The 25,541-nt window shown below is 38.6% G+C and overlaps 1 protein-coding gene and 1 pseudogene across 4 annotated transcripts in view; both read left to right on the top strand.

Annotated features, from left to right (window-relative positions):
- Positions 1 to 25,541, top strand: part of SGCD (sarcoglycan delta) — a 1,039,957-nt gene that overhangs the window by 101,123 nt on the left and 913,293 nt on the right. The gene's annotated exons all lie outside the window — the stretch shown is intronic.
- Positions 16,483 to 16,573, top strand: RNA5SP199 (RNA, 5S ribosomal pseudogene 199; annotated as a pseudogene).

The raw sequence follows: 25,541 nt of genomic DNA on the forward strand, positions 1-25,541 counted from the left end.
GGGATTACAGGCTTCAAATCACTTCTACTATTATTATTATTATTATATTATTCTATTTTGTCTTTGCATGGTTCGGTCCTAATGGAGAGCTAGATGACCTGGCTGTGATTTTTTATATGCCACGAGAAGGCAGTTATTAAGTCATTTCTCACTCTTCTCTCTAAAAGTAATCAAGAGGTGAAAAAAAGTCTCCCATGAGTTGTTCTAAGGAGACAAAAATTTCCTAGTCCTGGGGGCAGGATGAACTATACACCTTTCTTGACATTTGGCAATAAATATTCTATATAGTGCAGCTCTTTGCTTTGGCATTCATGTCTTCATGAGCCCAGAGCCCAGGAAACAGTTCCCACATTGCTCCATGTTGAAGTGAGTTGAGTTGTTTTGAAAACTCGTGAAGTTTTAAGATACCTTCTTTTGTGAAATTTGCTACAGCCATCAGCCTCACTAATAATGCCTTGAAAATAGCTGATTCCTGTAAGATGCACTATGCTCTTCTCTCATCTCAAAGCCTTCACAAGAAAATTTCCCCCAGACACAATGAACTCCTGTGCAGAGAGTGATGGCTGTATTTATTTCCAGGGAAGAATAAATCAGAAGAAAGCAGGGAGAATATTCACATCTTCAGGCCTCGAAGGAGGCTGCTGGGAAACAAATGCAAGACAACTGGTTTTTGTAAGATAACTCATAGCCTGTTTGAAAATCCACTTTGCAGGAAATAGAATAGAATCAAGAAGCCAAAGTAGCAATTTCTTTACGTTTCCATTGATCATTGTGTTCCCTGTTTTAAACATTCTTGGTTTGGAAAAAGTGTAGATTACATGTAACCTTTGTGGGTATAGTTTCATACAAAAGTATTAGAGGATTGAGTGAGAAAACCAGGAAATGGAAAGTCTCAGGTTGTATTACCAACCAAGCATCATACAATCATAATTAAAGTGAATGCTTATCAAGGGCTTACTATATGTCTGACATTGTGCTAAGATCTTTAATTAGTGATCCCTCATTTAATTATACAAATAACCAAAGTAACAATATGTAGTAGAAAATGACATCATTTCTATGTCACAGATGAGGGGATGGAGGCCCAAAGTCTCTCAGTAACTTGCCCCAAGTCACTTCATTGTAGGTGGTTAAGATGTGATTTGGACCCATTTCTGTTTTCCAGGGAATTACAGTGTATTAGACTTCTAAAGCTGCCATGACAAAATAACACAGATTGGGTGGCCAATACAATAGAAATTTATTTTCTTACTGTGTTGGAGTCTGGGATTTCAAGATAAAAGTGCCAGCAGGGTGGGCTTCTCCTGAGGCCCCTCTCCTTGTCTTGCAGAATACTACTTTTTTGCAGTGTCCACACAAGGTCTTTCTCCGTGTGTATACACTCGTGGTGTCTCCTCTTCTTATAAAGACTCCAGTTCTGTTGGATTAGGGACACATGCTTATGACCTCATGTAACCTTAATTACCTCCCTAAAGCCTCTATCTCCAAATGCAGTCATTTTATGGGGTAGGGATTTAACATACGAATTTTAGGGGGAGAGTGTTCAATCCATAACAACAGCCAATAAATTGAACCAGCGTATTCAGCTCTTGCTCTGACAGCAGGACTTTGGTTAAAATTATAACTTCTCTGGCCTTGTATCTCTCATGGATCTAAAACAAAGATAATTTGATCATTTAGTTTTTAAAGACTTCTGTTAAAGACTCTTAAAAACCTTATGATTATGAAAGTAATACTTTATAGTTTATTAATAAATTGTCACTATTTGTATAAAATTAAAATGAAGTCATTCTCATACGACCTGTTGTGAAGGTGGGAAGGCATAGAGATTTCTTCTGGGGGCCACATAAGTTCTTCCCCCTGATATTACCATTTTCCACTGGTATTATTGGCCCTCTTTGTTTTTTAAACACAGATGAATGCACTTTTTCTTTTTGCTTCTTTACTACTTTTTCCAGCAAACAATTATTGTTTATTTGATATGCACCAGGCATTCTTCTTTTCAAGCTTAAATTCATTAAATGCTTGTTACGTGTTAGATGCTCTCTGAACCCCATACATTCATTGAGTCAGATTTAGCCTTTCAATAAGCCTATAAGGTTGTGCAGATAGGGAAATTGAACCTTTCTCTGGTTAGATAATTTACTCAAAGTCAATCAGCTAGAAGAGGTGGAGCTTGTATATGACTTCAACTCTCTCTGATTCCGCAACCTGCATCCTTAGTCCTTAAGCTACTGAGATGAACTGTTACTTGTGCTCTTGCAGACTCTGTGATATATTCCTCCACCTGCTCTTGCGGTTTTGATTTTTGCTCCTGTTGACTGCCTCTCCTTGATATCAGGGTCTCTCCCTTTCTCCGTGCCTCCGTCTCCTAGTTCATTTCATCTTGTACAATGCACACAATATGAAAGGGGGAGATTTACCATTGTTTTAAGTTTAATTGCATTGCCTCTTTTAACCTCTTGCTGATTAAATAGTGGGAAACGTAGAAATAATTGTCAGATTTTTAGGAGAAAACAGGTTGAGAAGTGCACTTGCTTATTGAAGGATGCTTTCCCTTTTCACTGAAATTACCTGGACTTTTGTATGCAATTGCTTTGTGCCTTCCATTATTTTTAATTTCGGCTTACAATTAGAGCTTGCAAATTGAATTGCTTTCTCTGAGGAGCTGTGATTTCTCTATTTGGCAAGTGCCAGGCATCCCCCGTCACAAATCCCCACTTGCTCAGCTGAAATTAACATGGTTGATTTTGTTCTCTTGTACTGCAATCGGGTCTGATCAGTAGAATCATGATCTCACTTAGTAATTGCTTCCACAGAGTCTGTAGGGAGAGCGGATATGAGTGGTGCTCTGCCTGATGAGGAGAATGGAGGTTCTCCAGGGGAGTACAAGGGAGCTTTAGGCAATGATCTTGGGGATTATAGAGAGCTGTCCCTCTTTACTTGCACTCAGAAGTCTTGTGGTATTTACCAAAGCCATTAAGGGCCCTGATGTTGGAAGTGTCCTCTTTGGAATCAGGATAAATTCAAAGATGTGGTTAGCTGTTATCACTCACAGATGCTGCAAAGGAAAGCGTATTAACTGTGGGTATTCTAGCTCAATGCCAGCTTAGTTCTGGTTATTTTTATTAGGGAAAAATCTTAAGATATAGTCAATTCTTCAGTTCTTCAGTTTCATGTTTCATCTCAAAAAAGTTGATTTGAGTTCCGCAAATGAAAGAGAGATTAGTTTTGCAGGGTGCAAAATGAGATCCATTGTAGCTTTATGAGTGGCGAGTGGCAGGTCACTGGAGGTATTCAGGAATCTAGACTGGATGACCTCTAATGCCCTTTCTAATGCTGAGATGAATGATCCACTCCCTCACCTCTTTCTGTTCTCCATATGGTAGCAGCCTATAACTCTAACATTTATGATCTAACATTTATGAACTTTGTGGTCTCTTAATACCTCAGTATCTTTTGTGTCTCTATGTCTTTGTACTTCCTTTTCCCTAAATCTGGGAAACTTCTCTCTGGTCTTCTGCATGGTTGGCTCCAGTCTATTTTTCAGGATACAACGCAAGCATTGCTGCCTCTCTGTATACCAAGCCCCATCTTTAGGACTGAGTTAGGGATTCTAGTCTGCTCCTTATGCTTACTTGTCACCCTGTGTTATAACTGCTGGCAGCCTTGTCCTTCCTCCTGATGTGAGCTCAATGATAATGCTACATTGATTGATTAAATCACACATTGAAGATATAATAGACATGCAAAAAAAATTGTTGAGTGAGTGAGTGAAACCAAATAGTGTTTGATTACTTTTGTGTAGAGAATTATAGATTTTAAAAATAATATTTTGAATAGCATTTTAAATTTTAATTAATAAGTAAGTTTCATGGTACTTAGTTTTCTCTTATATGTACCTTTTCAGCCATACTCTTTCTAGGAATCTTGCGTACTTGTCAGTGAGCATGTATCTCAGTTTTTAAGAAAGTCAGGGCTGGGCACGGTGGCTCATGCCTATAATCCCAGCACTTTGGGAGGCTGAGGCGGATCACGAGGTCAGAAGTTCAAGACCAGCCCGGTCAACATCGTGAAACCCCGTCTCTACTAAAAATACGAAAAAAAAAAAAAAAAAGAAAAAAAATTAGCCAGGCATGGTGGGACGCACCTGTAGTCACAGCTGCTTGGGAGGCTGAGGCAGGAGAATCACTTGAACCTGGGAGATGGAGATTGCAGTGAGCTGAGATCGCACCAGTACACTCCAGCCTGGGTGACACAGAGAGAATCTCAAAAAAAAAAAGTCAGAAGGTACTGAGATCTTCTAAAGTTCAGTATAAAGAAGTAATCACTGTGCAGTGCTTATTTCTATAGACAAAACATTTTATATTTGTTACATTAAATATAATGGATAGGAAAATCTCTTTACCATTTGGTGAGTGGTTATGAATCACATGGAAGCAAGTATCCCTTTTATTTGCAAATTGGAAAGGTTTTTCTGGTAGTGATGGGCCTTCAAGAGACCTCCTTTCCAATAGAGGGTGCTGCTACTCCACAAGCTATGAGGGACCCCAACAGATGAAGACATCAAAAGAATTGTTCTAAGTGCATCACAGCTGGCTACTTGGAATTATGATTTATGTTCAGCTGTAGCCCAGTTTGAAGAATTTGAAACCAAGGGGGGAAAAGTCTATCTGTTCATTTTGCGAGCTCCAGTCTTGTTACATGCAGTGTTTCAGCACTTCTCAGGTGAGCAGCGGAAAGTGTAGTTCATCTAGCAGAGCTGTGCTTTTAGAGACCCCCCTCATGTTGCCCCTGCATGATGTATGAGTACCTGTGCTTCTCAAGGAACCCACATTTGCTGAGTGCATTTCTATTTCACTGTCTCTTTCTAATAATTTTAGATCAGGTCAACCTATTTGGCCTCTGGCTACATGAGAACAGTGAATACAGAATGCAAAATGATTAACAGATACAGTGAAAGGCCTAGATAACTTGTTTTCTTAGAGACCCTACACTGAGTTGTGGAAGGACATCAGTCTTCCTTTCACACCTGCTTAGTTTTGCTCATGGTGTGGCTATGGCCCTTGCTGTTTCTCTGCCTTTTAAATCCTTACCATCCTTTAAAGGCCGGCCCAAATGCCCATGCAGAGTTAAATACTCATTCCCACATACTATCCTGCTCTGGTTATTATTAATGTCACTTGCTTTATTTTGTCTTGTGTAATTATTAGTTGCTTACCTATGTGCCCCTCCTTTAAGACTAAATACTCCAAGGCAGGAACTGTGTCCTGATCCTCCTTGCACCCCTCAGTACCAAGAGCCTGCACATAAAAAGTGCCCAATAAACCTTGATTGATTTGAAATGAGTATTTCTGAGAACGGTACTGCATGTAAATATTGAACTCAGAATAACTAAAGCACAGCTTTATGAGTTCTTTAGAAGTGCAGTTGGCTATATATGTTCATAACAATTGAAAGGATAAAAAGTAAATGGTAGGTGAAATATGACTCATTTTGTGGTGGGCATAGGGGTGGTGCTCCAATTCAGGAGATGGTGTTTTGTAACCTTATCGTGTGATTCTACTCAAAGGTTTTACTTATAATTAATAATATGTTTTCCATTTTTGAGAAAAATTAGTGTTTGGGTGAGTTTTACACAAGTGGTGCTTGCCACGTTTCACACACTATATTATGGCTTGTGTCATGTACGTTTGACAATTCTTTCGTGCTTTTCACAGTTTAATGTTTTCTTCTTCGTGACAAGAAAAAGTCACCCAGCCTTTCCCTGCATTTCTCTCCTACACCAACTTTGTGGTGAAGACATGGTGCCTTGTGGTAAGTGCACTGTAGCAAAGAGTCCCACCCTACCAGTTGTCTGTGAAACCATTGAATGTAATCTTTTTTTTTTTTTTTTCGTGAGACGGACTCTCACTTTGTTGCCCAGGCTGCAGTGCAGTGGTGCAGTCTGGGCTCAGTGCAACCTCTGCTTCCCAGACTCAAACAATTCTCCTGCCTCGGCCTCCTGAGTAGCTGGGATTAAAGGCATGTGCCACCATGCCCAGCTAATTTTTTTTTTTTTTTTTTTTTTTGAGACAGAGTCTTTCTCTGTCACCCAGGCTAGAGAGCAGTGACGTGATCTCGGCTCAACGCAATCTCCGCCTCCCAGGTTCAAGCAATTCTCCCTGCCTCAGCCTTCTGAGTAGCTGGGATTACAGGCGCCCACCACCATGCCTGCTAATTTTTGTATTTTTAGTAGAGACAGGGTTTTGCCATGTTGGCCAGGCTGGTCTCAAACTCCTGGCCTCAGGTCATCCACCCGCCTCAGCCTCCCTAAGTGCTGGGATTACAGGTGTGAGCCACTGCGCCCGGCCTTGTAATCATTGTTTTTGAAACAAAAACCTTTATCACAAAAGTAACATGACCCAATGTGAAAAATGCAAACAATCTACAGAAATACAAATGGTGTGGAAAGTGAGCTTCTCCTTCACACATTCTCTAAATCCTACTGTGTTCCCCCAGAGAATGGCTGTCTCTATTCATTTAACAATATGTGTGTGTAACACACACATGACTTTTCTTCTCTTTCAGTTTTAAAAACTGTATATATTTAGGTATACAGTATGATTTCTGATGTACATATACATAGTGAGATGGTTATTGTATTCAAACATATTAACATATCCATTATCTCACATAGTTACATGTGTGTGTCTAGTCTTTTAGCAAAAGTATTTGCCAATTTTTGCCATTTTTTTCTTGATAATCATTATTTCAATTGCCCATCTCGCCTAATGACAGAAAACACTTTACTAGCAGTTCTACTTTTCATGGTTTCAGTTACCCACTGTCCAAAAGTATTAAAATGGAACATTCCAGGAGTAAACAATTTGTAAGTTTTACCTTGCATGCCATTCAGAGTAGTGTGATGAAATCCTGTGCCGTTCCCTTCCATCTTGCTCAGGAGGTGAATCATTCCTTTGCCCAGGGTATCCACTCTTATAGCCTACCCACCCTTTACTGTCTAGGAAAACATATGGTATATATAGCGTTTAGTACTATCTGTGGTTTCAGGCATCCACTGGGGGTCTTGAAAAGTATCCCCTGTGGATAACAGGGATCTACTGTATAGTCAATCCTAGCAAAATTATTTCAAGTTTCAGTCCTGACTACTTCAGTTTCCCTTGCTCATCCTTCTCTGGGACTTATTTAAATACTGGGAATTTAAGGAGTGTCATGGTTTCTGGACTGAGGAGATAGCTGGACCTCCATGGGGTCTGTCCACCATTGAATTTGCTAGGATGTACATCATTCCACCCTGTTCCAGATGTGGAGCCCTCCCTGGGCATCCAGTGAGATATTGGCAGTCCCACTTGGTTCTTGGCCATACTGATTATGCCACCATCTGCTGGTCTATCGAAGAGCATTTCAGATATGTAGACTTTCTTCCTTTTTTATTCTGCAAATGAAAAACGATTCTTCAAGGATATAGGAAAGTTATGGGGCCACCTTGGAACTTCTCTACCTCTGATACCCACCCCCGCCCCGCACTCAATCCAGCCATCTCTTTTCAAGTTTTATCATACCTTGATAGAGTGAAAAGCTCCTTCAGAAGAGTTTGCTGTCAGGGTTCAGAGGGAAAGCAGACATGGGCAGCTCTGCTCTCAAGCCCTGTACTGATCTGAGAGTTCTATTTCTCCCATCCACTTGACATTAACCTTCTTGGAGAGCTCAGAGTATGTGGTCTCTTTTCAGATATATGACTAGTTTATACTACTTGTTTTATTTTTCCTTGTTCTCCTGCCCAGGGAGAGGTATTTTTCTCCTCCTTCTAGCATAGAAAAACAAAATGTTTGCAAGTGTTTTACAAGTGGATCTCAGCTTTGGAAAACAGAAGTATCCAGAATTGGATGCCTTTTTGTAGCTCCGGTTCTAGTGTGACATCTTTATCTTAAGGGCAGTGGAGTAGCCAAGTTGGTGTTACAGGGTAAAAAGGAGTTTGGGTGAAAACATACTCACTTACTACTCTCAGAATCATCCATGTCCACAAATGCACATGTGCAAACTTATGTTGTATTTGTATTGTTTTGTTTCTGTTTGTTTGCTCTTTGCATAAATGGGATCATACTTCACATATTGTTTGTGACATGTTATTTTTTCCTTAGCAATGTGTAGTGAACATATGTTAATGGCTACTAGGATTTTTAATTTTTAAATTTTTATTATTTATTTATTTATTTTTGAGACAGAGACTCACTGGGTTGCCCAAGCTGGAGTGCAGTGGCATGATCTCAGCTCACTGTAACTTCCGCCTCCAGGGTTCAAGTGATTCTGTTGCCTCAGCCTCCTGAGTAGCTGGGACTGCAGGTGCCCACCACCACGCCTGGCTAATTTTTGTATTTTTAGTAGAGATGGGGTTTCACCATGTTGGCTAGGCTGGTCTTGAACTTCTGACCTCAGGTGATACACCTGCCTCAACCTCCTGAAGTGCTGGGATTACTGGCATGAGTCACTGCGCCCAGCCTTAAAAAATTATTTATGATACTTTTCACCATATAGAATTTTTGAAGATACATACTATTGCTTGCCAGGGGCACCATAAAGCATTTCTGTAAACCTGTGTTTCTCCAGATTTACACAAAGAGGGACATAAGTCATGGCATCCAGTAGCCCTCCTTCCTTCCCTGTTCTGTTCACATGCACAAGCCCCTTCAGGTCCCAACTCCTGTATTGTAGCAGAGCAGAAATGTCTAGAAAGCCTATTGTCATAAAAACAATCAGAACACAAGCTGTAACATAATTCAGTCTGCTTTCCTTACGTAGAAATCAGCAAAATCACTTTTTACTCAGCTACCTGAATAGTCATTCCAAGTTGAAAAGCAAGGTCTATCCTGTGGGGGTGTTGAAACTGCCTTTTAACGAGCTTTCATTCCGATTGCATTTGGGGACCTCAAAAAGGCATTTGGCCTGCTGAGCGCCAAGTTTCAGTGGACACATCTGGATACTTCTGTCTCTTTTTAAACTCTTTTTTTTATTATGAAGAAATGGAAACATACACACAATTTGAGGAAACAGCGTAATGAACTTTGTGAACCCGTCACACAGTCTCAACTCCTACCGATGCTCCCTCCTCCTTTCTGACAGACTGTTTTGAAGCACATCCTGGGTATCATATTGTTTTATCTGTAACTATTTCAGCAGGTATCTCTAAAAGATAAGCACTTTTAGTAAATGTGACCATAATGTCGTTCTCCTACTTAAAAGATTTTAACGATTATTTAATATTAACATATATTAATATTAATCAGTGGTTAAATTCCACCAATTGTCTCATAAATTCCTTTTTAAACAAATTAATTTGTTCAAATTAGGATTCAAAAAAGGTCCTCACATTGCACTTGGTAGATAAGCCTGTTAAGTTCCTTTTAGTCTATAATTTTCTCCCTGCTCTGTTTTCTCATAATTTATTTGTTGAAGAAATGAGAACATTATTCCATAGGGTTTCTTACATTCTATATTTTGCTGATGATATATTTTGCCCCCGTGTCATTTAATATGTTCCTCTGTGTATCTTGTAAATTGGAAGTTAGGTTAGAGTAGCAATTCTCAAAGTGTGTTCTGGGGATGCATGGGGGTTTCTGAGACACTTTCAGAGAATCCACGAGATCAAGACTAGTTTCACAATGATAGTAAAATATAGTTTTCTTTTTAAAAATCTCACTCTGTCATAGGTGTACAGTAGTTTTCCAGAATCTATTTGACATGTAGTATCACAAGTTGAATGCAGTGCAGATATAAAAATCAAACTCTTTTCCATTAAGCCATATATTAAAGAGATTTGCAAAAAAAAAAAAAAAAACAATTCAATCTACTTATTTTTTTGGGGGGGAATATAGCTATTTTTCATAAAAATGTGCTATTTATGTTAACATTGATAACCAAAATGAGTGACTGAGGCAGGCATCTCAATCAATCAGAGTTTTTAAGCCAGCTTTAGGGCACAGCCAGGAAAATGTAAATCACAGAGGCATCTGTTGCTGTTTTTCTGAATAGGTTTTCAGAAGGTTTATATTTATACATTTTCCTAAAGGGAGAAAGACATGTAGGGAAAGAGGTGGGTAGGAGCAAATGGTTACATTCTTGTGAGACTTTAGTTAATGCCCAGCAAATCTACATTTCACATAAAATTAAGGTGAATGTTTGAAGATAAAAGAAAAAAGAGTAAAGGAAGAATCAATTATGCATACATTTCTGGCTGGTGGAGGAATGATTGATCTTGTCTCTGTTCTGCACCTGGCGAGAAAAGGTTGTAATGATATCATCAGTGTGGAATCAAACAGATTTTAGTTTTAGGAGCTAGACTTAGATTGTAGACCTAAAGTTACATATGGCATGTCCTTGTTTATGGGAGGCCAGCAAAAAAATTTGCCTATAAATGATTTGTGGGGCAGTCATTCAGAGATGCCTGAGGCCTTTTACCTTTTCTGAGGGGTCTGGCTAATGTATAATGCTAGTAACAGCTACTCATTTGGAGGAGGGTGTGTGTGACTCAGCCTCCAGGCTTAACTTTCGCTTTGGCATAAGGAGTTTTGGGGTGCTGAGATTTTTATTTTCCTTTACAACATATAATGGATTCATTTTTGTCATTTTAAAATGAATTAGTAAATAAATATTTAACATATCTCCTTCTCCCCCATTGAATTTATTCAATTATTTATTTATATCTGTATTTACTCATTTATTTATTTCATACTCTGAAAGGAAATGAAGTGACTAAGGCTAAAGCTTTCTAATTAGAGCGGAGTTGGGAGACTGTGAGAGGATTTCACTCACACCTGCTCAGGGTCAAACCACAGACTATTCCAATAGACTTGAATAAACAGCTGAAGTCAGTATCTGCCAGCCTTCAACATCTCTCAGGTGGGAGGACCCTGGTTAGCTAACCAATCAGAATGGGTTTACGATTCAGGATTTCCGCCCAGCAACGATCTGCCTTTGAAAACACTTTTTTTTTTTTTAAATCCCTGGTTAAAAAACCTCTTCTGCTCTTTCTGTATAGGACACAACTCAGGGCTGCCCTGATTGAATGTGCCTGAATTGCAATTATTGGTTTACCAAAGAAATGATATTTCCTTTGACTTTTGTGTCAGTCTTTTTTTTTTTTACTTAACAATACTTAGGTTTATAATCCAATACCGTATTATGTATTTTGTTGTTGAAATTTTTCCAACTTTGGCTATTGAGAGTTCTTTCAGTTGGCTCCTGTGTCCCTTGACACATCCTCCCTCAAGGTGGGTTTTTTGTTTTGCCTTTTTTTTTTTTTCTTTTGAGCCGGAGTCTTGCTCTGTCTCCCAGGCTGGAGTGCAGTGGCGTGATCTCGGCTCACTGCAAGCTCCACCTCCTAGGTTCAAGCCATTCTCCTGCCTCAGCCTCCCGAGTAGCTGGGACTACAGGTGCCTGCCACCACGCCCAGCTAAATTTTTTTTTTTTTTTGTATTTTTAGTATTTTTGTATTTTTTTGTATTTTTTGTATTTTTAGTAGAGACGGGGTTTCACCGTGTTAGCCAGGATGGTCTTGATGTCCTGACCTCGTGATCTGCCTGCCTCGGCCTCCCAAAGTGCTGGGATTACAGGCGTGAGCCACTGCACCCGGCTTGTGTGTGTGTGTGTGTGTGTGCACTTCTTACTACAGGATTATCCAGGTGCATGTATTTTCTGCCTCAGTTCTAGAATCTAGAATTTTCCAAAGATCTCTGGCTTCTTTTATTGAAGAATGGTATTAAAAATCAAGACACAGGCCGGGAGTGGTGGCTCGTGCCTGTAATCCCAAAATTTAGGGAGGCCGAGGCAGGCAGATCACCTGAGGTCAGGAGTTCAAGACCAGCCTGATCAACATGGAGAAACCCTGTCTCTACTGAAAATACAAAATTAGCTGGGCATGGTGGCACATGCCTGTAATCTCAGCTATTCAGGAGGCTGAGGCAGGAGAATTGCTTAAACCTGGGAGGCAGAGGTTGTAGTGAGTCAAGATCGCACCACTATACTCCAGTCTGCGTGACAGAGCGAGACTCCATCTCAAAAAAAAAAAAAAAAAAAAAAGACTGGGGCACTGGGGCACTGGGTGTGCTTATTGCTACTTGGGCATTGTTTCTTTTAGGGCTTCTCAGTTAACAGATGTACAGGCCGAGGGAAAACTTCCCCTTTGCCCTCTGAAGGGTCACTGAAAATCAATGGGCACAATGCTGATTAATGGGAGAAAAGATGTACAAATGTATTTGATTATATGACAAGGGAGCCTTCAGAATGAAGACCCAAAGGTACAGGGGAAACCATTTTTATGGTTGGATTCAATGAAATATTCAATGAAATATTGCTTACTTGTGAACTCTCACTTCAACAGTGGGAATGTGTATATGCATATATTAATCAGTGGCTATTTCCCTGCTACTTTGCTAACAACCTTCTCAAACTTTTGGATTTTTCCCAATTTGGTAGGTGAGAAATAATACCTCATTGTAGTTGTAATTTATATTTCTCTTATTATGAGCAATGTTCACATCTTTTCAAATGTTTAAAGTCCATTTGCATTTTATTTTTTGTGAATACTCTGTTTAAAACTCTGCCATTTTGGGGGGGTTGGTGGTCTTTTTCTTCTCTACTTTATAAACTCTTTATATATTAGTGATGCCAACCATTTGTCAGGTGTATTACAAATATGTGTTTTTCTAGTATGCCATTTCTGAAAGTTTATCTTGAAGCTTATAGCAAATATGATTTTCCCCCATTTTATAGGTTTTGTAGGGAAACTATCCTTTTATCACTTTATAATAATGGTTTAGGAGGATGTGACTACCGTTTCCTCCCCAAAGATTGACGGGGGAGAAAAAAAGCCCAGATGTGTTTATGTTATTTCTGTCCCATTCCCTCTCCCAGTCCTGGCCAATCATATGGGACATTTTTCTAAACACAATGATTCTTCTGGTGGTGGGGTGGGTCATGGCCCAACTAGATCAATAGAAATCCTTTTGGGCTAAGTGAAATAAGTGAAATAGATGCCTAGAGAAAGGCCACCTTAACTTTGTCACTAGGAGCTTGGGCTGTGGGGAGAAATGTCAGCTGCTGCTTTGAAAGACTCAGCTTGAAAATGAAGCTAATATCTAGAAAAGAAGAGAGGAAAGATAGGGGAAGAAAGCGAGAAAGATGCCTGAAGGCAATATTTGAACCTCTGGATCTAGCTATGCCTCTCTCTGGACTACTTGATCATATGAGCCAGAACAATTCTTTGCTGCTTTTTCTTAAACTCATTTGAGGTGTTTTTTTTTTTTTTTTTTCTAATAGCCAAAAAAAAGATAACTGACTGGCTGGGCACAGTGGCTCACACCTGTAATCCCAGCCCTTTGGGAGACTGAGGTGGGTGGATCACAAAGTCAGGAGATAGAGACCATCCTGAACAACATGGTGAAACCCTGTCTCTACTAAAAATACAAAAATTATCTGGGCATGGTGGTGCACACCTGTAATCCCAGCTACTCAGGAGGCTGAGGCAGGAGAGTTGCTTGAACCAGAGAGTCAGAGGTTGCAGTGAGCTGAGATCGTGCCACTGCACTCCAGCCTCACGACAGAGTGAGACTCCATCTCAACGGAAAAAAAAAAAGTGACTAAAATAAAGTTACTTTGAGCTCAAAAGTTCAAAAGATGCTTGTTGGTGTCTAGTGGTGGGGGCATATATCAGTTCTGATGAGCAGCTGTATTATGAAAACTAACAAAATAGAATTTTAATAAATTAGCACAGCATCACAAAAAGTTCTCCATGTAATTAATGGATTAAAGTGTTTTAATATTTTTGTCATTAATTCAGTTTTGAGATAACTGAAAATTTTAAAAAAAGAAATCTTCAAAATATTTGACTGTTCTTAAAAATACTTAGTTTTTAATATCAGGGCATCATCTCTATTCTACTTCTGTTAAGACATTGGTAATTGTGTCTGATCAGTTGTTTTTCGATTCTTTTCTGCAGCCTGATTATAAGACTATCAACTCCATCTAAGAGTTTTCAGTTTATATGAAGCCATATTCTTCAAAGACACCTTGGAAACTGCATCTTTATTCCATGCTCCATTTCTCAAATAATCACCTTCCACCCTCAAGAGCGGGTGCTGGTCAAAGAGAAATGATTGTACAAAGCAATGGTATCTTACGTGAGGATTATGTTAGAAAGTCTAGGTATAAGGTAAAAAACATATCTACTGAAAATTGACCTTTAAAAACACATAGGAACTTTCCTTTTGTGTGTGTGTAAAATGAATAATTGTTCATTAATGGGTTGAGGATAGCCAATTTTTTCCTCAGTTTTAAATCAGGTGGCCTATTTCCTTGATTGAGCACTAGATAAAACACTTCACTTGGGTCTAAGGAATATGGTGTAGGAAAAATACACAGCTTTAATTACTAGGATGACTCTCACTTATGCTCACACACACACACACACACTGATACTCACGCTGAGGTAAAGGGAGGTAACAGCAGATTTATATCTTCCAAATTATGCATGCACCAGGTCACATACTTACTGAGTAGGTCAGCAGGCTGAATTGTCCTCACTTTAAAGATTATGTATCTCTTTCTGCCATGTATATACAGTCGAAGGCTCAACATTTACATGCACAGGTGATATGAGTTAATTGAACCATATGATCTTCTCATTCTGCCTGTGGCAAGAACAATATAGAAGAGGAGAGGTAACTTCTGGCTCAAGGCAAGATAATCTGATTGTTTCCTGTAAATGTAGAGCTGGGAATAAAAAGCTGAACATGGAGTAGGGGGGCTACAGCTAGGACATGATGAAGCCTCAAGGCTGGGCCTGCACCTTGAACCCCCAGTGGCTGCCTAGTTCTTGGTCCCAGGATTTTACAAAGCAGAGAAACACTTCTTCCCTTGACTTGGTTTCACTGGACACCTGTATATTTTTCTAATAAATCTTTCACTCTTTCCCCAGAGTATTGCTCAAGCTAACTTGGAATGGGTTTCTGTTATATCCAAAAGATCTGGATTAATACAGTGCTATACTCTGAACAAACTCTACCAGTTACTCTTATAATGGTATGAGTATCTTCCAGTAAAACTGATACTTTGAACATTTATTTACTTCAAAATTTAGAAAAAATGTCAGTATTCAAAAGGGGAAAAAAAAACAATCAGCTTGTGAAGGCCTCACACTTATCTGAAGTTTGTATTGTTTCTTCTGACCTAGCATGTCTTCTCTGCACAGAGACACACCTCTTCGATTGGCTGGGGCAGCTTCCTGCTTTTCTGGCTTTCTCTAGTCCTAAAATTTTGAATTTTTTAAAAATAAAACTTATATTGTGTTATATTTCCCTCTTCATTGTAAATTTTCCATTTTCCTTAATAAAGTTCTCCTTACACTTAAAGAGTAAAAACTAATCCAGAGGAAGTTTGTTAATTGCCGCCAGAGGGTGTTGCTAAGGCTTTGTGTGTGTGTGTGTGTGTGTGTGTGTGTGTGTGTTATAAACAAGGCAGTTTATCACGTTACAAGAAAGTGGTGACTCAGGGATATTAGAAAGAAGTATAATTTATTAATAGAAGCATTCTTACAATGATGGAAAGAAAGGAAAGATTAGATCGTAAATAAAAGAGAAAGAACTGACCTTTACATCAAGTGTTTTCCAGTCACTTCTTAATTGCTTTCCACTAAAACTTAATTGAGGAAGCTTGGTGCTGTCCTGCTCATATTATAAATGCTGGCCATAGAATGGAATACCGTATATGGAGATGAAAGACAGTGAGTGACTCACCTAAGGTCACATGCTTAGTTAAAAACAGTAGTATATGAAGCGGTATAGCACAGTGGCCAATTCTGAATCATCCAATGCATGCCATATAATGACTGGATGATATTAATTATTTTACTTCTCTGTGCTTCCATCATCTTTTTTTATTATTGTACTTTAAGTTCTGGGGTACATGTGCAGAACGTGCAGTTTTGTTACATAGGTATACACATGCCATGGTGGTTTGCTGCACCCATCAACCCGTCATCTACATCAGGTATTTCTCCTAATGCTATTCCTCCCCTAGTCCCCCATCCATGACAGGCCCCGGTGTGTGATATTCCCCTCCCTGTGTCCATGTGTTCCCATTGTTCAACTCCTACTTATGAGTGAGAACATGCAGTGTTTGGTTTTCTGTTCTTATGTTAGTTTGCTGAGAATGTCCATCATCTTATTTTTAAAATGGGTTTGCCTACCTTTCATGAGCTAATATGCATGAAGCACTTGGCATAGTCATTTTTCCATTTATAGTAATTACTACCAAATTTTAACCTAGAAATTCCAGGTACCTGCTGCCTTCCATGTCACCTCTGTGGCTTGGTCATTTGATGATGACAGTAGGAAGGAGTGAGATAATGTGCCTTCTTCTCAGTGGATTTGGCAGAAAAATGAAGGAGCCAAATTATAAGGCCCACAACTGGTTTTACAAATTACTGTCTACGGCCATACCACCCTGAACGCGCCTGATCTCGTCTGATCTCGGAAGCTAAGCAGGGTCGGGCCTGCTTAGTACTTGGATGGGAGACAAATTACCTTTCCTGTCATTTTCTTCTTGTCCAAATGAAGTTATTACAATGAATAATTTTAATACAACTCTCTTTCTCCAAAAATGTTCAGCGTTCTCATCCTGCTTAACCATCAGCTGGAAATAAAGCTTGGAGATATTTCACGGTTGTAACCACAGTGGTGAAAAGGTGGGAGACTTTTAGGAAGACATCAAATGCCTTTTTATATTTCACACAACCTCCTGGGAGGTGGAGGCTAGGAGTCTCTGGCAAAACTAATTCATTATCTGTAAACCTGTTTTTTATGCCAACCTAGACCTCACAGAGGACCAGGACAGAATGCTATCTGAATTATGCTGTCTCTCTGGGGCACTGCTGTCTCTTCATCTTTGATGTTCTGTGCCACATGCTCATTTTTCTGGGCCATTTGCCCATGTACTTTGTTCTGGATAGGTTTGCTTTTTTAAATTTCACATGTAAACTTGAGAAGAAAGGAACTTGGGAGTTTTTCATGATTGGCAAAGCAATGAGCTCTGCAGCTATCCATGGAAGATTATGGCGATGGATGAAACCAGCATTCTGGAGGTCATCTCCAGCAACAAAAAATGACTAGAACTTTCTTATCTCTGTTAAGAATTTTATTGATGATAACTTTTAGTAACTTGAGGAAACCTTAGCGTATTCGTCTTTACTATGGCATTTTTCACAAACGTAGAAAGCTGCTAATGTTAATTTTAATGTAATTTTTAAGTTAGCATACAAATTACATCCCTCTTGACTTACTGCCCATATAGCTGGAGTCATTCAAAAAGTCAGAAATATCAGCCTCTTTGCAGTGGTTTCCTTTAGCTTTTCAGGAATATAGATGTCGAACAATTAGTAAAATTCTCAAATGACAGACACTTTTTTTCCTCACTCTGAGTTATATGTGTTTGCTGATGTGAACAGATGGACTCGGTGATTGGGTGAGACTTCTTTAGCTCTGCCTTCTGGGTGTCACTCATTGTCATCACTCGTGGTTAGGGAAGGACTTCCCTTCACATTCTGTTATACTCTGATTCCCTGTAAAACCTAAAGATTATTTCTAAAAGTCATTGGTTCAACTCACCAGATTTCTCATTGGTTCTCAGAGGGTGTATTCACTTAGCCTATAAACCCACCACTGCCATCTAATCATGCAATTTCTTCATCTCTAAATGTATTTGCTCACAATTCTCTGTATAACACAAAGTAAAGAAATAATGGAAAATAATATTCTGCTTCTAATGCTGCTGCCTGCTTAGATGTATTTCATTTCTTCTAAGACCCTATCATATTGGCTAGTAATTATTTCCTGACTCTTATTTTCTGCTTTATTTTCTATTCAACCTCTCAACCTCTCCTTCATGAGCTGCTGGTAACTGAGTTTGATTCATTGCTCAACAAGAATTTTCATTGTTCCCAATCATCTTTGTAGATGTGGTTACTTCAAAAGCGTGTGCTTAAAAATATGAAGTATATGATTATCGAGATGTGGAAAAATTCATAATACCTTATTTGTACCATTCTTAGTGAGAACTGCAGCTAATATTCCTTGACTCCTTACCATGTCCCAATGCCCGGGCCATGTGTGTGCTCTGTTTGTGTATGCACATGAATGGGTACATGTGCATGTGTGTCTTCAAGTGCATGTGCATGAATGAGATCTCATGTAATTCTTAAAACAGCTCTATGAATTTTGGGTATACTCACTATCTTCCTTTTACAGATGAGGATACAAAAATTCAGAGTGATTAAGTAATTTCCCCAACATCACATACCTGGTAAGCAGCAGAACTCAAAATCACATTGGGTAGCTACCCAAGTCTTGCTTTTGATGCCAGCATTGCTCCCTTACTGTACTTTTCTTTTTGACTTATGGCATAGTTATTTGAGGATGGGTTTTGCTCACTGCAGCAGATTAAAGATGCTGTAAGTTCTTTGACATCTTCCCATCAAGAGTTGAGTTCTATTTCCCCTTTTCTATACTCTGGACTTGCCTGAGACTACTTTGATAATAGAGTGTAATATAAATAATGGCGGGGCATTCTGAGCCTTGCCCTAAAAAGGACTGGCAGCTTCCACTTTGATCTCTAGGAACTCTGAGCCAGTGTGTAAGAAGTCCACATACCCTGGGGCTATTCTACAGAGAGGAAGCTTAAACCAGCCACTTGGAAAGGCGAAAGAGAGATAGAGAAGACGGTCCAGCCAGTCCCACCTGTTCCAGCCCTCAGTCGTTCTAACTCTCCAACTGTACAAGCCATTTTAGCTCAGGCCACAAACTTCATTGAGCAGAAGCTAGCTTATTCTTACTATGGATTGTCCTAATTCTTGACTAGTGGAATCATGAAATACAATGATAATAAATTGTTGTGTCAAGCCATTAAGCTTTTTAGTTGCTTGTTACTGAGGAGGAGATAACCAAAACATCCACGTTTGTGAATGATATATTCTTTGAAAACAGAGATGATGTCTCATTCATCTTTATATTTCTAGCATTTGTGTCACTGGAGGTCAATTAATTTTAGATGATTGAATGAATAAATGGATGAGTGGAATTAAGCTATTGGGAAGACAAGCACACAAATCTCATGGAGCTTCTGTTCCAGAGGGAGGGAGGGGGAGACAGGTAATAAAGACATAAATAAACATTCTCAGGAGGTGGTGAGTACTATGATTGGAAAATAAGGCAGTGTAAGAGGACATTTTTGCAGAGACTGGATGAGGGAATTGAGTGAGCCTTTTAGTACCTACAGGCCACATGGACTTTGACTTTCATGCTTAAAAACAAAGAATCTGGCTTCTATGTTCTCTATGTCCATATACCCCTGAGTTTTGTGATGGCTGCATCACATCTCAGGGTCTGAAAAGAGGTTGGTGCCAGGGCAGAAAGCGTGGGCAGAAAAAGCATTGGTTATGATATCACTCAACAAAAACCACCCCTGGAATATGCTGCATTCTCTCTTCCAAATCCTTGCAAGTATAGTCCCCTCTGTGTGAAATGTTCTTTACAACTGCAAGCCCTTTCATCGTTTTCTTGTCAAGTTAAAATGTTCCATTCTCAGACAGATAAATTTCTTCCTCTACTGTGTTACAGATCTTTGTATTAATAGTACTTTTTTCAAATGCTTGCTCATCCTCTCTAATATAAAAGCTATTGTTATATAGCTTTCCCCCAGCTATTTGTGAAATAAATGAGAGTAAAGTATCTGTGTCTTCCCATCATCTCCACTATAGCTCTTAGTACAGTGTATTGCAGTAGAAGATGCTTGTTACATTCAAAACAAGAAACAGAGGGAAGAGATAAGGAAGGAAAGGGCCATGCCTCCTTAACTTTACTCATGTAAGAAACACCTGGCACATAAAATATATTCGGTAAATAATGAATGAATGAATACATGAATGAATTAATTCGTGGGTAACTTGGTACTATTTTCAGTATTTTTGGTCATAGGTTCATTTTCTCTCCTATTAAATTCCTAAAGGCAAATATATTTTTTTCCAGTAGTTGAGTAGTCCTCATTGATGATCTGGGCATCACACTTTTTGTAATGTACATAAGGAACCAAATTACCTGGTATTGTAAAAATTGGTCACCAGAGCATGTCCTCAAGTTCTGCACATTTAATTAAACTAATGTCGTAATGGTAACCAGATTCTCACAGTGTGAAAGCTCCTTCTGGGAAGTAACTTAGGAATTTTTAGACGCTAATGTTCGTTCTCTCTCTTTCTCTCTATCAGAACATAACCTATAACTATTTAAGTTCACCAACTGAAATATTAATGAGCTAAAAATGCTAATTTTTAATACTGAAATTGCCCAATTTATATCTAGAAAACAATTTATGCAGTAAGATGCCTTAATGTGATACAGGCACACACACCCACCACCCCCCTCCACACACACACACATGTGCGCGCGCACACACACACACACACATTTTAACTATTTTGCTATAATCCAAATGAATAATTTGCAAAAATACATTTCCCCCATACATACCTGTGGACTCTTTAATGGTAGCTGAACTTAAAACTTTCTTTCTCGTGTAAGTTTTTGGAAGGATATTGATTAATTAGGATGTAATGACATTAACTATGCCACTCTTGTTTCAGTAGCAATTTCAATTAATAGTGTGAGATGTAGAATATGTAAAAAAGGAGTCAGATATATTGTCTTTGCATTAAAATGACAATGGATTCTGTTTATATCATTCCATTATGTCAGACAGTACTGAATGGTTTAGATGTATTAATAGACACCCCAAATGTTACCTCTCCCTTTTAAATATCATAACTGGCAGAAGTACAAATGTTAGTGAAGGTACAAAACTATTTCCTGATTGAATGGGAGAAAATGACCTTGAATGAGTCGACACAGTTAAGGAAATTAATTATTCTAATTCACTACATTTGAAGAATTAAGTCAGAGACTTTAAACTGGGACATTAGAATGAATGACCATATCATTTGCTATATAAATATCAGGAATAGAAAGCTTGTTTGTTATTTGCTGTTTGTTTAATTGGTTGGTTCCTGGCTGTAAAGGGAACATTGGGCTCATCCTAATTGATTAAGTACCTTGTTTCTCCATATTCTTTAATTTTGGATTCAAGGCTTGTATGTAATCTGTTTGATGGTTTTATTTGCTTTTTTCTGTAATGCAACTTTGCTGACTAGGAATTGGTTTACTCTTTCATGTCTGACGGCTCTAATAAATTGAGGAGCTTAGGCAGACAGCTCTTTTATCCAAGGGCCCTTACTGGGCTGGTGATACTGCTGAAACCTGCCTAGCCTCAAAAAATGCTCAGAGAGGGATAAGAGTCCTGTAGGGAGGAAGAAACAGGGGAATTTTTTTGCAGTGACCTCAAAATAGAGACAGAGAGACAGAGACAGAGAGAGAGAGAGAGAGGACAAATCACTCACATGGAAGTCTGTCAAAATGAGAATGAGAGTAGGCTGGTTCTGCTTTGGCTGATGAAAGGATGGTGAATTGAAAAAATGATCAAAAGTGACATTGTGGGCCAACTAAGAAATATCAAAGGAGACCGTACTGCCGATCAGTCATGGAATTCACCATCTGCTAGGGAGCAGCTGCACAAACATTTGCTGAGTGATTATATAGAAACTGTAGTGGTTGGTGGGATAGATGCAGCCATAATGAACGCTCACTGGGTTCTGTCTGTCTCTTGCTTTGCTCCTTGTCTTTCCTTTTGCCTTTTCCCTTGCCCTTGACCTTCTCTTTCTTTTCACAAAGACAGAGCTATGTCAGGGACATTCTGGGAGATACAAAGATGCATGAGACATAATTCCTGCCTTCAGGGAAGTCTCAATCTGATGGAAGCGACAGAAGTAGAATGGGCAATGTTTACCTGTATTTTTTGTTTTGCTTGAAAACAGATTCTGATAAAATTGCAGGAAATCAATGGGGTTGGGGGAAGTCTAGTTACATTAATTAATGAGATGTGCATTTTATTACTGTCAAAGGGCATCCATTTTATCTGATTTCCTCTATTTTGGGAGTGCCAGTTGATTAAAAGCTTTACTAATTATGTTCCAAGTGGATGGTATCTTTCTCTTTCTGAGAAATTTAATCTACATTCCTGTCTTTGCCTGTCTTAGTCACACATATCAACTTAGGATTCTGACTTACAAATCTGACATGAATATGGCGACATGCAGTGTGTTCTTCGGGATTCATCTTTAATATTTTCAAGATCCACATCAGTTGAAGGATCTGAGCTGATGAAAAGATGACTTTCAGCTTTCTGGAGGAACTCAAGAGGGACTGGGGAGTTTATTTTGTCCTTGGATGAAAGAGAAAGGGTTTTGTTGTGGGGATAAAGCGAAGGCACTTTCCATGGTGAGCTGACATCTTGGTGTTTTTTTTGTTTTTGCTTTATTTTCTGGCTGCCTCGAGCAACTCATCGTCAGAGGAGCCATCAGTGCCTTTGGTCTTTTATGTACAAAAACACACCAACCAGTGGAGGAATATGGTGTTTGTGATCAGTGCTTATGGGTAGTGGTGACTTTTGATAGTTTTGGGTTTTTAGTGCTAGCAAGCTACCTGAGTGTCAGTGAAGAGTGGCCCCAGTGATACTGTGGCACAGACACAGTTCATAATAAATGCTCTCTCTATGCCTGGAAGGCCCTTCTCCACTTTTTCCAAATACATACATCATCCTGGCCTCATGGACTTTCACCTGCCTAGAATCCATTCCTCCTCTTCCTGTACCACCATCTTGATATTTTGGAGAGCCTCTTTTCCCTCAAGCTGAATCTGTGGGAAACGGTGTAGTATAGTGTTGAACTGGATGGTGTCTAGAGCCAGAGTTCCTGGGTTTGAACCCAGTACACACACTCATCATCAGTATTGGATATACTCTGTTCTTTGTATTGATCTTTCTGTATCTGTCCTCAATTGACTGAGCTCCTTGGGAGCTCCTCTAGTTGTCATTTCCATATGGACAACTTCAGCTGCTAGCGCAGAGCCTGGAACATGATAGGAGCTCATAGGATTAAATGAAGGAACCCCTGTCGTGGATAATGACAGGACTTGCTGTGGAACACTGGCATGGCATTTTGCCTATTCCACCTGTATGTCCATCAACATTGATATAAAAAAAGTTTTCTTCTGAAGTTAGAGAACAATGTCTCCTTCCACCTAAAAAATAACCCTATCACTTTCCAAGGTGCCTTTTTCTTGTAATTTTTTTCAAATGTGCTATGCATGGTGTCCAGATCATTGAATGAGTGGAGTGTTTAAAGTAGTTCAATCCTTTGGAAATTGTCAATAGACTTGAAACTTTGGTGATATTGCCTTATTATCACTAATTTAATGGTTTTTTGGTGTGTGCAGATAAGGTCTTTTTGACAAATTGAAAACATGTGAACCCATATACTTCATGTATTTTGGCAGATGCATTTGTGATGAGGACTTCTTGAAGATAATAGCCTAACTTTTATAATTATTTCTCTATGGTAAATAATATTATTTTAAAGAAGAATTGTTTTCTTCCCCTATTAAGTGCTACATGTCAAAGAAGTAGGAGGATGGAACAAATTTGAATATGAATTTCTCCTGCAGTAGAAAAGTTAACATGTAGCTCACTGAAAACTGTCTTGGTCAAATAAATGAATATTGACTTTGGGGAAAAAAGAAAAGTGAAGGAGAAAGAAATGTAGAAAAAAGTATAATTCATTCTTTTAACGTGGCGGGTTATATGCTTTAGCGTGCATCTTTTTGTTGTTGTTTGTAGGCCTTGATGTATTGATGTCTTACATCATAGATGCTAAATCACCTCTCAGTGCATTTTTAAGTGCTTAAGGCAGAGTTGTTCAAGTAATAGAGAAAAAGTGCTAGCTCATGTGGTCTGAATCTTGATTTCCGGGTGACAATTTTCTTCTTACTCCTCCCATTTACATTTTTGTACGAATTGGGACATGCTCCTAATAATTCCTTCTTCTCTGACTTCAGTCACTATTTCCTTTTGCATTTCCATAGGCTAAATATCCAAGCTCTAAGACTGGAAGAGTTTTAGTTATAATATAATGGATAGAAACATCCATTATTATAATATAATGGATAAAAACATCCATTATTATAATATAATGGAGAGAAACATCCATTATATTATAACTGAGATAAAATATTATTACTGTTATTTAACAGTTGATTGTTAGCATGCATTGATCGATATTTAATAAATTAAAAATTCAGAGCCCACCCTTCTCATTTAGCTTCTTACAGAGGAAAATCATTTCAGGCTCTTTAGTCTTGGTACAACTGTGCTATAAGAAAGCAATTTCAGTAGAAAAAATGGATTTGGATCACAGTTTCTTGATGGGTTTTGTAGAATTTGTCAGTTAGAAAAAAAAAATGGCCTTACTGAAAATGTGTTTGCTTCTCTGCTTACACCTTCTAACTCAGTTCTGATGCTATTTGAACAATTGTTGACATGCCTCTTTACCTTTCAATAGTTAGGAGTAAAAACATTTATTCTCAATTTTGTTTTGCTCTTGCGCCTTTAAAAGTTGATTAAAAGTCGCCAGGTTGCTCAGAGTTCTAAGTGAATAGACATTGTCATTAGCTCTTTGATAATGTTCTCTGTGTTCTATAAACCAAGTAATCAGGTTTCGCGTGTACTTGTGTCAACGTTCCCAGAGGGATTGCTAATGAAAACAAAAAGGCAATATATGTCATTATAGTAAACCATCATTTTGCTTAAAATAATTTCAAAATGAGTATTTTAGCCCATGTACTACATTTCTGACCTTAGTTTCCCCAGGTTCTTCTCTGTCATTATTTCAGCTATTACAAGTCAGGGTGAATTAACCAAGGTTATGACTACACCAACATTTTAATTATCTGGCTTTGTTGATGGCTTGTTGAAATTGCTTTCATGTGGCAGATTGAAACACAGCAAATTTATAGTAGGGATGGTTACCCAGCATTCAAAGCCTTCTTCATGTACACTTCTTTTCATAGGAAGAGTATTTTTTTAACATTTAGAAAATATACTCTATTTAACCTTATTTTTTAAAAAATCTTGCACAACAGAAACATTATTGTTTAGAGACCCTAGAGGTTTATGGCATTATAACATAGACTGTAAATTAGGATTCGTTAATCAAGGCACAACTTCAGTTGTCAGGGGCTGTTCTGTGCTTTTTAGGGTGGGTAGCAGCATCTCTGGTTTTTACTCACTAGATGCCAGAAGCACCTTTTTTTCCACCAGTTGTGACAACTAGAAATGTCTCCAGACTTTGCCAAATGTCCCCCAGGGGAAATTATTACTGGGGGTTGAGAACCACAGCTCTTAATTGTTATTTCATATAGGTTTTATTATTTTGCCCCATTTATGTTACCCTTTGGCATGTTTCTATGACATAGGTAGTCAAATTTTAGCTAATTTTCCCCTAAGAAGCTTTTTTTCGTGGATGTAAAAATAAATTTTAATTTCTATGGAAA

Source organism: Homo sapiens, chromosome 5 (genome assembly GCF_000001405.40).
Source record: "Homo sapiens chromosome 5, GRCh38.p14 Primary Assembly".
NCBI classification, from domain to species: Eukaryota; Metazoa; Chordata; class Mammalia; order Primates; family Hominidae; genus Homo; species Homo sapiens.